At 33.3% G+C, this 13,297-nt stretch overlaps 1 protein-coding gene across 3 annotated transcripts in view; it reads left to right on the top strand.

Moving 5' to 3' along the window:
• LMBRD2 (LMBR1 domain containing 2) overlaps nucleotides 1-10,363 on the top strand; it is a 53,481-nt gene extending 43,118 nt beyond the window's left edge. For all 3 annotated transcript variants that reach the window (NM_001007527.2, XM_011514162.3, XM_047417877.1), the window contains 3 exons: nucleotides 131-236; nucleotides 3,573-3,702; nucleotides 4,664-10,363. In NM_001007527.2, the coding sequence (NP_001007528.1) occupies nucleotides 131-236; nucleotides 3,573-3,702; nucleotides 4,664-4,724 (297 nt within the window). In that variant the 3' untranslated portion in view covers nucleotides 4,725-10,363. The remainder of the gene's footprint in view (nucleotides 1-130; nucleotides 237-3,572; nucleotides 3,703-4,663) is intronic.
• The last annotated feature ends 2,934 nt before the right edge of the window (nucleotides 10,364-13,297 follow it).

The raw sequence follows: 13,297 nt of genomic DNA, 5'->3' as shown, positions 1-13,297 counted from the left end.
AGATACTAGGATAATTATATTGATTACTAATGAATCTCTGATGAAAATAAATTATATTGCATATGTAATCTCTTGACATTAATGAATTATTTTCTGTTCTATTATATGATTATTTGTGCTTCTTTTCTAGGAATGGAAAGAACGTTATGGACACAATAGAGAAGATTCCACTAGGAACAGAAATATTCATACTGACCCCAAAGAGTCAAACTTCTCAGATGTTAATACCAACCGTTGTAAGTAGTTTATCTTCTAGTTCACTTGGAAATTGTTTTCTTATGCTTTCTTGCATAGAGATTGAGTGTTAGAATACACACATCCAGAAATGCCTTTGTAGAATTATAAATGGTATATTTGCAGTGACTTCTTTTTTTTCTGCATTCCTCAGTATATAGAAGGATGGGGAAGCTCAAATATGTACTGTGGTAGGGAAAGGAGAAACTGGGGCATCAAATGAATAGTTCTAAGTATACTAACCCTAAATAATGTAAGCACTTATCCCAGGTATGTTCTAGGCAGGTGTTTATTTCTACAACTTACCTTGATGTTTTTCTTTCCTATTAGTAGGTGTAGGTTATTTGGTCATTTTTATAATAATTTATTGACTGACCCATATAAGTTAGGCATATTCCCAGGTATACAGCAATACAAAGAAGGTATATTTCTTGTCCTCAGGATGCTCATAATTGAGTGAGGGACTGATACCAGACAGAAGCCATCTGCTACCAGGGTGGGTTAGGAAACTTTGTATCACTGACCCCACACTGACATGATGCAGAAGCTATTTAGGAGGTGCCAAGAAACCAGTTTTTGCCTAGGACCTTGAACTGAGTAGAAGGAAGAGGCTGTTTTTGGGAGAGATGCAAGATTGCTGAAAAGCTCCACCACTGAGGCTTCAGTACACAGGGTTTAAGACTGAGGATGGAGGAGAAAAACTGAGCACTCTCACCCACTCAGCTACAAGTTTTGCACTGAGCACCAAGCCATAGTAGTCAATTGTTGGAGGAGGAATAGAAACATGGAGAAGACTCCCTCTGTGGCATATCCATATCCATGCAGGGACTACTGAAATCTGAGAGTGGAAAAAGAATACTGAGAGAAACCATCTGACACTTGAGGCCCTACTAAGTACAAGGTCATAGGATTTCATTACTAGAGAAATGTGAAGTCTTTGGGGACTTAAGGAAACTAAAGCAACAACCAAATCCAAACTCAGATCAACTATAGGTTGAGTGATTCAAGCCATCAGCAATGATGATCTAATAGAAGAGGTGTGCCCATTCTGGGCATAAAACTATGATTTCTCTCCATCTTTTCCTTCTTTTACACATAATGTCTAGCTTTTAACCCAAAATTATGAGATATACAAGAAAGTAAGATAATATGAGCCATTTTCAAAACATAAAATAGTGAACATAACCAGACCCAGAGGTGGCTCAAATGTTGAAATTATCAGACAGTGCAGTGACTTTGAAATAACCAATTGATATGTTAAATGATCTGATGGAAAGGTTGGACAATGTGCATGAACAGATAGGGGGGAATTTCACCAGAGAGATGGAAACTATACAAAAGAGCTAAATAGAAATGTTAAAAATATTTTAATTACAGACTATGTATGATATTGTAGATTTCTCATGACAGCTCTGATAGAAGGATGCACACCAGATGCAGAAGGAATTCAGCTTGGGGATTGAAAAAGAGGGCTTATCTTAGGAAAGAGTTTTTATAATGAAGAAATATTTCTGTAATAAGGACATGTTTAGCTGAGTATTTAAGAAGGAATAGTACCTAGCCAGGTGAAGGGTATTTTAATTAGAAGGGAGACTAAGTGCAGGACGTTGTGGCATGAGAGAACCTTTGGGAAAATGCATGTTTTTCTCTAACTAAAGCCTAAGCATGGGGAGGCTAATAAGAGAGGAGGCCACAGAGTAGTTGGGGAACAGATATTGTCATTCTCCAATGTTTGGATTTGGGGCCAGGCGCGGTGGCTTATGCCTGTGAAGCTGAGGTGGGTGGATCACCTAAGGTTAGGAGTTCGAGACCAGCCTGGCCAACATGGTGAAACGCCATCTCTACTAAAAATACAAAAAGTAGCTGGGCATGGTGGTATGCACCTGTAATCCCAGCTACTCAGGAGGCTGAAATGGGAGAATTACTTGAACTCAGGAGGAGGAGGTTGTAGTGAGCCGAGATCATGTCACTGCACTCCAGCCTGGGCAACAGAGCAAGACTCCATCAAAAAAAAAAAAAAAAAAAACGAAAGAAAAAAAAGTTGGGATTTTGACCTAAAGGTAAGATTTCAATCTGGGAAGAAGCATGATAAGATTTTTGGTTTAGAAAGATGAATTTGATGGCAGTATAAAGCATAATTCTTGGGGAAGTGAGACTAGAAACCATTTCAGAGACTGTTTGGTAATACAGTCAAGAAATGATTATGGTCTAAAATAAGGCAGTTGTCCTGGAGATGAAGAGAAAAGGATTTATTTGAAGGACTTTAGGGTATAATAAATAGGAAAGGGCTAAAGGCTTAGTTAAAACTAGGAAATAGGATTCTGTAAAGGGATTTGGATGCTTGCTTACCATAGAGTGGAAGAAGTTTACAGAATAGAAAGACCTGGCAAGACGGGAGAGTGCTTAAAAGAAGAGGAGTCACAAAGTCATAGGATGATGAATTAGAGAGAATCTAGCATGTATTGGGCAATTGCGATTTGCTGAATGAGTGAGAGAAAAGATGAAGAGATTTGCATTTGGGACAGAGTCCAAGCTTACAAAAATGTAAATATGATAGAATTGGCTTGCATTAAGTTTTCAGAAAGAACTATAGCATAAAGCTGTTGTAAATCTACTTGGACTCCTCTGAACAACATTGTGAAAATTTGGTTTGTTTATATAGAAATCCCTATCCACATAGAGAAGGGAGAGTTAGTTTTCTTTATCTGCTGTCTGGTATGATAATCATTAGCCACACGTGGCTATTGAGCACTTGCAACATGTTGAAATGGTAATATTTTGGATATATTGTGTTTAAATATATTAAAATTAATTTCACTTGTTTCTTTTTACTTTTTAATATAGCTACTAGAAAATTTCTAATTAAATATCGGCTAGTGCCGATGTTGGCTAGTGCTACCCATACTCTTGCCTTATGGTAAAAAGACACACCTTTTTTTAAGAGTTTGAGCTGATTACACATTAAAGTCCTAGCCAAGAAATGAGGTTTACTGTAAAACCAACTCAAACTACTTTTGTTAATAAACAGTTTCACCATTGTGATACCATAGTTAAATGTTAATTCTGAGTTACACTAATGAAATGTTTGCACTGTGTCTGCTTCTGAGCTTAGAGAGCTTCTTAGCTAACTACAAGCCTAGAGAACTTTTCCTTGCTATATTCTATTATACTGCTTATAATTTTAATCTGATTTTAAGGAACCATGTAGTTATCTTTTCTTATGTTCTTTGTCTTCAGATTCCTTGGAATTTTGATTTTTCTTTCTGTACCTCCATAGACTGTGACCCATAAGTTAAAAGACAGTAGGGAAGTAGACATTTTTCCCCCTTCCTTTGCAGCTGCATTCAAATATACCAGGGCTAATAACAGGACTGAAAGGGACCGGATAGAACTTCTCCAAGATGCAGAACCTTTGGATTTTAATGCAGAAACATTCACTGATGATCCTCTTGAATCTGAATCAGGAAGGTAAGTTCTGGCTGTGACATTTTAGCTCTAGCATTCCTCTACACTTTTAATAACACATTGACTTGACAAGATTGAAAATAAGTAAGTAAAGGTGAAAGTAAACAAGTGATAAGTAAAGGAAAATGTTCATTTTCACTAACAATAAAAAATATATTAAGTAACTTTTGATACCTTTTTAGACTTTCTAATGCTTTTATATCATCCAGTAATGGTAACTAAAATTGTTATCTTCATACAATACTAGTGGTATTATAAATAAGAAAGAATAATTGAAATATATAGCAAAGGATCACAACAATATTTATATGCCTATTTCTGATTGTCCCATTTGTGAAATTTATTATATTTAGTAACTGCTGCATAGCAGTGTCTAGATGCCAGACACTATTCTAAGTCCTTTAGCAAAAATATTGTAATTGTATGGTTGCAAATTCAGCTGGATTTAAATCCAGAGAGGCTCAGTAAAGTGCCCAGAGTCACACAACTTGTAAATGGCAAGTCAGGCATTCAAAGTCCAGTATTCTGGCTACAGAGTCTGTACTTTTAGCCATTATGCTATAAGCACATAATTAAATAAAAGCAAAATATCATGTGCACGAAAATGTTTACTATAGTATTGCCTATATGCAGTAAAAACCTAGGTTATATTTATTTGCAACAATTGAGAGTGGTTATTGAATTGATTAATCTCCCAGATGTGTCTTACATCCCCTGCCCCCTTCTTTTTACATCTCTCACTCTGTCATGCATATATTCTAGGGTCTAAAACCGTTGCTGGTTGATTTATAATTAAGTCCTTTTGGATAATATACTTGGAGGGTAAGTTTCTGCTTTCAGCTACTGACTAGATTTTACAGTACTTACAAATTATATGGCCACTCCCTTTTAATGTATTCTTGTTTTCCTCTCTTCCTTTATTATTTTTGATGCCTCAGATCATTTCTTTATGTTCCCTTTTTAGGTATCAGCCTGGTGGACGATATCTCTCGATGTCTCGCAGTGACATATTTAATGATGTTTAAAGTCTGAAAAAGTTTGTGGGACCACTAACCAAGGTCAACACATCAGTTCAGTCTTGATGAACATCTGTGTACCCTAGAATTTCCTCTATACACAGTGAAAAGTGTCAAGATAACAAAAAAGGCACTGAGAATTAATTATATCTTAGGAATAATAGTTTAATGTGCATTGAATAGAGTATCACCTTTTTCAACAAGATTTATTACATATCATTTCCTAAGCATCTGCCTTAGAAATACAGTTACAGTGGAAGGACTTTAAGAAAGATCAACATATGTTAAGAACATGCAGTTCAGTTTGTTTCAGATTAATTTTTTTTCAAGAGAGTTATTTTAAAGATTCAAGGAAGCCATAAGTCATACTAAATAATATTATATACAGTTTTGTTATTGTGACTTACATTTTTGTTACTTCTAAAAAGTATATTCAACCTGTATTTCCCAAAGAAATGTAAGTGAATGGAGACCTCAAATAATAACTGTATTCATAAAACTCGTGTCTTAAAACAAGGCTTACTTACTAGACATAACTGAATGTAAAAAGTGCTTTTTCAAATCTGTTTGCAAACTCGTGGGGGATTTTTGCATGTATAAGATTAAGATTATACTTCAAGTGATGCGTGTCTGTGTATTTAGCATGTGTACTATAATCAGGTGATATAGTATTCCTTCAGTCTTTGTAGTAACTGGATTTTTTTATGCTTCTGGTATTGCTTTATAAAAGATTTTCATTTCAGAAAGCTATGTTCACATTTATCATTTAACATATTGATTTAAATGTTGATTATGATATTCAAGGATAAATCCTAGGCATTAATGAAAAATAGTTTTTTTTTAAGTAGTCAAAGAGTCCAACAAAATCCTTCAGTATTTAAAGGTACCTGCTTATACTTTTTGAGAAAAAAACTGGTTATTCAAAGGTAAAAAGTGAATCCATTTACTGTTATTACTGATACTTAAATCGTGGTTTATAGAAAACAAAACTATATTAGAATGGAAATGTGTAATAACTTGTTGGTTAAACATTCTTACTAAATAGACTGTTTTTAACCTTTGTGTTTAAGATAAATTTATGTATTATATTTTAAAGCACTAGTGTTTTATTGAAAAGTGAACATGTTTGATTGCAGCATGCTTGCAGAGAGTTTTCTTATGTCCCTAGAATATTTGCAACTCTTACTGAATCCATGCTACATTTGGTGACCATACTTCAGCTTGCCTAATACAGTCTCAGTGTAACACCTAGTATCCTGTTTATTACTAGTGATTACTTTCACCCTCAAGTATCCCACCCAGTTTGAAGATGAATTATATGGTTCCCCTAACTTGAAGTTAATCTTTCCCCAAGACATAAATTTAAAATTTTTATTTTTATTTTTAATAAATATTATCATGTAAGTTTTTTTTTAAAACACAGCTCTATGCAGATATTGAAAGGAATAGAGCATCATCCTCATTATCTGAAAATTTTGATCTTTGAGTTTTTATGATCTTTGCAATTAGATCCCTTTTAAAATAATTATCAGTGGATAGACTTACTCTGAATTGAAGGTCATATAGACTACACTTAAGAACACACACATACAGTCTTTTCATGTGAAGTGTGGCCAGAAAGCAATAAGCCAGGAGCAGAGATAATTTGATCCTCTTTGTAATTTAATGATTGACTAATTGAATACCTTTGGCAAATCATGTAGCTCTTCAGTGCCTCAAGTGCTTCATTCTGCACTTTCATTTGCAGAATGAAGATGATACTTGCTATTTACCTGCTGATCTACCTTACAAAGCCATTGTGAGGAAGTTGAATTGGTGTTTATGTACTGGAGTTTATAACTGTGCTATTTTTCCTAGTGATACTTGAAGGTATTGGATGGGGAAATGATCATCCCAGAAATGGGTCCAGTTTCTTATTATTACAGAAAAGTTTACAAGTACTTAAAGCAAAAACGCTTTTGGACTAATTCATCAAAAGTCCTGTGAAAGTAGTGTTGTTTTATTTAGTCTTTGGGTTTACTTTGGAATAATTTCTTAAGTATAATGTTTCTCATCAGGTTTTGTCATGAAATTAAGATGCTGTTGTTGAAACAGAAGCAGAAAAGGAAAAGAAATTAGCCAATTACTTTTATAACTAACTTTTATAATGCCCTAAGATAAATTGGTAGGAACGTGTAAGGTAATGTTACCACTTTCCTTTAGTATTAAATTTTTTATGGTTATAATAATTGAAGTGTATACGTGCATACACTTCACAACCGGTATAGATTCCTTTATGACTTTCAAGTTATATTTAAAATATTTGGTTGTTTCAGTGATTCAGAATATTCAACTTTAAGCAGAATTTGTCTTACAGAATGTTATATACAATCATATAAAAATGTTATTTTGTTGGATAAATTTGAGTTCAGAAGGCAATGACTTGACCCTGGAAGACTCAGTTTATTGCTGGGGAACCAAGTTAATATTTGTCAAGCCACCCTGTGTAAAAAACTGTAATGGGTAGAAGTTTTCTCTTTTGAGAAGCTTATTGAAATATAATGACATCTACTGCAAAATAGGACTACTAAATACATATACTTTACATGCAAAGTACATTTCTTAAAGAATTATTTCTGGTAATTTTTGATGACTTTATTACTTGATAATAAGTATTAGTTTAAAATTTTCCAAATTATTCTTTAAATAGTTGTTAGGTAAGAATATTCAGTAAGCCAGTAATTCAGAATAACTATTGTAGAAAATAATAATAATCTATTAATTTAATGAATCACCTCTAAATTACTAATTAACTTCTTTTACAACATAAATAACTTGTTATCAATAGAGCATTTTTGTAAAAAACAAAAGAAAGAATAAGTTTAATTATTAAAATTTGCTCTCTTACCAAATGAATACAAGGGCTTTTGAATAATCTCATTGCATAAGAGGCCCTCATTTCACAGAAATGGTAAGAACTAAATCAAAAGATTCAAGGGTTTTCCCTTTATAAAGAATAGATCAGAAAATTTGACAATCCAGACATTCAAAAAAACATTCTGCCAGTTGATTTTTTTGGACTACTATTTGATTAGATGATCAGTTCTGAAATTTAAGCTGCATGTATGCCCAAATTAAATTAGCATAGGAAAGTCAATGTGTGTGGTTTTTTAAAAGTATATTTTAGCATATTAATGGAGCAATTTAATTTACATTCAGTTACAAACCTCATTCTTATTAATAGGTTTAGGGAATGTTCTTGCTGGTGTGCTGATTACCATATTAGAGAAAAAATAAACTCTCCATATTATAATTCACCTGTTTAGTAAGGTGAGTTTCTTACTTGTGATTTGAGTGGATTATGCCTAAAAATTACAAGTATATTTGCACTAAGCGACAAAATATGTCCCTGAAAAATCTTAGCGTACTTGAATCATCAAATGTAATGGATTGTATTGAATTCTAAATGTTAAGAAGTAAGTGGATTTAGGGTTTTGTCTTTCTTTTCTTATGTCCTCTCTCATTCCTTTATACCTTTCTTCCTTTCTGAGGCCTATGTTTATAGCATGACTTTTAATGTGCTGAAAGATTTTCCTTCTGTTTTGTGTACAGAGTTGTTTTTGATGAGTGGTACGCTCAGAAGGAACTAGTTCTGACTACAAATCCCACTACTTGAAATAGCAATATTGTACCTAAAGTAGTCAAACAGATTTTGCTAGACAACTAAGCAACATCTGAATACAAATGTAAAGTATGCTGGCTCAGTGTATCTTTTAGGTCACTAAAGAGGACACATCAGTAAATAAATTGTTTTCAGTGTAATATTTTTACATAAAAATAGATTTCCCCCCCAAAATTTAAGATTTATTTAGATTCTTGAGACATCTTTTTATGAAAAGGAATTAATAACATACATCATCAAAACTTTTCTTAGGAGCGTTGAAACAATATAAGAAGGTTACAGAAGGCCTTCTAAAATATGAATTCCCATCTGTATGAGGTACTTCTTTCCAACTCAGTGACTTTTTGCCCAGAGACTTGGAAGACTGGGCAATGTTTTCTTTCCCCTTTCCCAACTCCTGGAGACAAGGCCCTAGGAGCAATTTCCTCCAGTAGGGCAGGCCGTAGTCCTGCTCTGTCTTACTTCCCACTGCAGCAGGAACATGTCCTCGCCTCTGATTCCTTCTGTACCAAGCCATTGGTCCATTGAGGTCAATTGAGGACTCACTGTAAATTTTAAATCTGTTAATAAAGCAAGGATATTGGCATGTTCCTCTTCTCATCAATATCCTAAAAGACATTTATTTTTTACACACTCCTTGGGAAAAATTAACTTTTTTTCACTGAAAATATTTCCTTTTTTGGTTATCTTGATCTCAGATTATTTTGTGAAAGAATTTTACTGTACTTAGTTCAAAAGAGTAGAAAGAATGATTTACTATTGCAGACATATGTAGGGTAAAATCATAATTTATTTAAACTGACTGTACAACACCATTTAGAGTTGATATTGACATAAATGTTATTAGCCTACTAATTTGGAACTGCATTTCTCAACAATGCTGGCAAGCATCTTCCGTACTTAGCATACCAAGTTGTAGGGGAGAGACTGTGTATATATTTTTTAAAAGCAATCCAATGGATTTGTTTTTGTTCATATTTTGAAAACAACTCGAAGGATTTTTCTTATTTTAGAAGGTAGAAAATATGTGGACCTGTGTTTTAAATTAATATGTATTTATAAATTATAACATTGAATGATACAACAGAGCTCTAATATTGATGTTCTCACTTTCTGATATTTAATTTTTATAAATGTTTTTGTAAGTAACTAATTGTAGTATTGCTTTTAAATAGTTTTAAAATCTATCTCAAATAAGTTCTGCCCAGACCTATTTCCTTAGGACAGTATTCTAAAGTTCAGTAGTCCAGTGTGAGCTTGAAATACTCCTAGATCCCGTCAGTGATTTTTATATATACCAATACACAAGCAAATTATTAATATACCAAAAACCTAATTTCTGCATTGCATTAATAAAATACTTGTTATTTTGCCTTTATCCAATTCAGTTGATTAGGTGAAATAGAAAATTAATCTTTTCAAATGTGCATATGATCATAATTTTTCAAAATGTTACTGTGGTCATTTTTGGTGCATGATGCCAAGTTTATCTTTAGTTAGCCATTGCCACCTGATATGTAATGACAAATGTTTTACTATCTGATCATTGGGTTGTAGATTAAACTATTTTTTTTCTCTGTAGATTCTCACTACATTTTCAAATATGTACTTGGAAAAAGCTGCAAAGTGCTACCTATAAGCAAATTAGTAACTTTGGCCTTATCTATGCATAGTGTTCGCTCAGTTTGGTTTTGATAAATTGATTGACTTGCAGTTCCTTTGTAGTATTTTAACTTATTGTGATGTAATGAATTTTTTGAAATGTTTATTTGATTAGCTGTTAAAATATAGGAAAGAATGTAGCTTTGCATGAAATAAATTACATTTCTACAAGTTAATAAGAATTTTGCTGATTGTTTATATATTTTACTTCATTTGAGATTAAGGTTCTTTTAAGTAGATTCAGGCGTTCTTTGTTCCTTATCAATTTATTAGCAAATATGACAAATGTTTTAAAATAAATATGTGTACTTTAGTTTTCACATTACTTTTTCTTATGTTTGAAAGTAATTATATATGTATTGAAACATACTGTACCCCATAAATATGGACACTTATGTATCAATTTAAAACTTATTTTAAAAATTTTTAAAAAGAGAAGTAACCCCCTCACTACAAAATGTTTAAAGAAAATTAGATCAGAAACCAGTGAAATTGAAAATGGGAGAACAGTGGAGAAAATCAACAACACCAAAAGCTGGGACTTCAAAAAAAAAAAAAGGTCAATAAATTTGATGAAATTTTAACCAGGCTAACCAAGAAGACAGAGTAGGCTGCTTTCCTGTATACCAAAAATGAACAATTGGAAATTGAAATTTAAAACACAACATTATTTACATTAGTCTTAACTAATAGAGTAAGAGAAGAAAGGGAATAAAAAGTGTACAGATGCTTTTTTGTTCACAGATGACATAATTATCTATGTAGAAAGTCCAAAAAATTTGACAAAATAACTCCTAGACTATAAGCAGTTATAGCAAGGTTACAAGAAACAAGGTTAATATAGAAAAGTCAATCACTTTCCTATATAGCAGCAATGGACAAGTGGAATTTGAAATTTAAAACACAATATCTATATTGGCACTCCCAAAAATGAAATACTTAGGTATAAATCTAATGAAATTTGTATGAGATCTGTGTGATGGAAACTACAGCTGATGAAAGAAATAAAAAAACTAAATAAATGGAGAAATAGCCCATGTTCATGGATAGGAAAACTCAATATTATCAATATGTCCGCTCTTCCCAAATTGATCTATAGGTTCAATGTAATTCCATTTAAAATCTCAGCAAGTTATTTTGTGGATATTGACAAGCTGATTCTAAAATTTATATAGACAGGCAAAAGACCAGAAGAGCCAACACATTGAAAAACAAAGTCAGGACTAACACTACTCAATTTCAAGTCTTACTATAAAGCTCCACTCCAGTAGTTAAGACGTTGTGGTATCGGCGAAAGAATAAACAGATCAGTGGACCAGAATAGAGAGCCCAGAAATAGACCCATAAGTAGTCCATTGATCTTCGACAAAGGAACAAAGACAATTCAATGGAGATAGTCTTTTTAACAAATGGTCCTGGAACATCCACATTCAAAGAGATAAGTGTAGATATTGACCTTTCACAAAAATTAATTCAAAGCTGATCATAGACATAAAAATAAAACACAAAACTATAAAACTTCTAGAAAATAAGAGAAAATCTAAGTGATCGTGGGTTTGGCAGTGAGTTTTTAGATACAGCACCAAAATCACAATTCATGGAAGAAAAATTGGATGTTGGACGTCATTAAAGTTAAAACTTACTTATGCTCCACAAAAGACACTGTTAAGAGAATAAAAAGCTAAAAAGCCAAGCCACAAAGACACTGTTAAGAGAATACAAAGCTAAAAAGCCAAGCCACAGACTGAGAAAAATATTTGCAAAATATATATATCTTATACAAGATTTGTATCCCAAATATGCAAAAGAACTCTTTAAACTCAAAAATAAACCCAATTAAAAAGTGGGCAAAGGATCTGAACAGACACCTTACAAGATATACAGATGGCAAATAAGCATATGTAAAGATGCTTAAGGGACTATGTCATAAGGGCATTGTAAATTAAAACAACAATAAAATGCCACTTACTAGAATGGCTAAAATCCAAAACACTAAATAACACCAAATGCTGGCAAGGGTGTGGAGCAACAGATACTGTCATTCATTGCCAGCCACTTTGGAAGACAGTTTAACAGTTTCTTACAAAGCCAGCATGCTCTTTCCATATGATTCAGCAATCAAGTTCATAGGAATTTACCCAAATGAATGGAAAACTTATGTCCACACAAAAACCTGCACACAAGTGTTTATAACAGTTATATTCATAATTGCCCCAAACTGGAAACAACCAAGATGTCCTTCAATGGGTAAATAATTAAGCAAACTGTTGTACATCCATAAAATGGAATATTCAACCTCAAAAAATGAACTATCAAACTATAAGAAGACAAGGAGGAATATTGAATGCATATTACTAAGTGAAAAAAGCCAGTCTATACACTGTGTGATTCCAACTATATGACATTCTGGAAAAGGCAAAACAATGGAAGCAATAAAAGGATCAGAGTTCCAGTGGTGGGGGTGGGTGGGAGAGAAGGGATAAATAGGTGGAGCTTGAGATATTTAGGGCAGTGAAATTATTCTCTATTGATACTGTAATGGTAGATGTGTGATGTTACACATTTGTTAAAACCCATAAAATTTTACAAAGCATGAACCCTAATGTAGATTGTGTGCTTTAGTTAAGGTATCAATATTGGCTTATCAATAGTAACAAATATACTAATGCAAGATGTTAATTAACAGGGAAACAGGTGGGGGTTCTCTGAACTTTCTGCTCAATTTTTTTGTAAACCTGAAACTGGTCCAAAAAATAGTCTCGGCCAGGTGTAGTGGCTCATGCTTGTAATCTCAGCACTTTGGGAGGGTGGGGTGGCTGGATTGCTTGAGCTCAGGAGTTCAAGACCAGCCTGGGCAACATAGTGAGACCCCATCTCTCTCTCAAAAAAAAATACAAAGTTACCTGGGCATGGTGGTGCCCGCCTGTAGTCCCAGCTACTTGGGAGGCTGAGGTGGGAGGATGGCTTGAGTCCGAGAGGCAGAGGTTACAGTGAGCAAAGATCGCACTTCTGCACTTCAGCTTGGGTGACAGAGTGGGACCCTGTCTCGAAATTAAAAGGAATAACAATTTAAAAATCTCTTAACTTTTTAAAAAAGTAATTTTAGTGATACTAAAATCCAATATAGGCAAACCAGACTATTAACTTCCATATACATCCTTTTACATCTCTTCGAGAATAGTATAAAAAACGTATAAAGTTAGTCAAAATTGCTAGATTTTCAAGCCACAAAATCCTTAGAAAAAAAAATTTTTTTTTT

Source organism: Homo sapiens, chromosome 5 (genome assembly GCF_000001405.40).
Source record: "Homo sapiens chromosome 5, GRCh38.p14 Primary Assembly".
Taxonomy (NCBI): Eukaryota; Metazoa; Chordata; class Mammalia; order Primates; family Hominidae; genus Homo; species Homo sapiens.
This window is presented reverse-complemented; position numbering and strand designations above follow the sequence as displayed.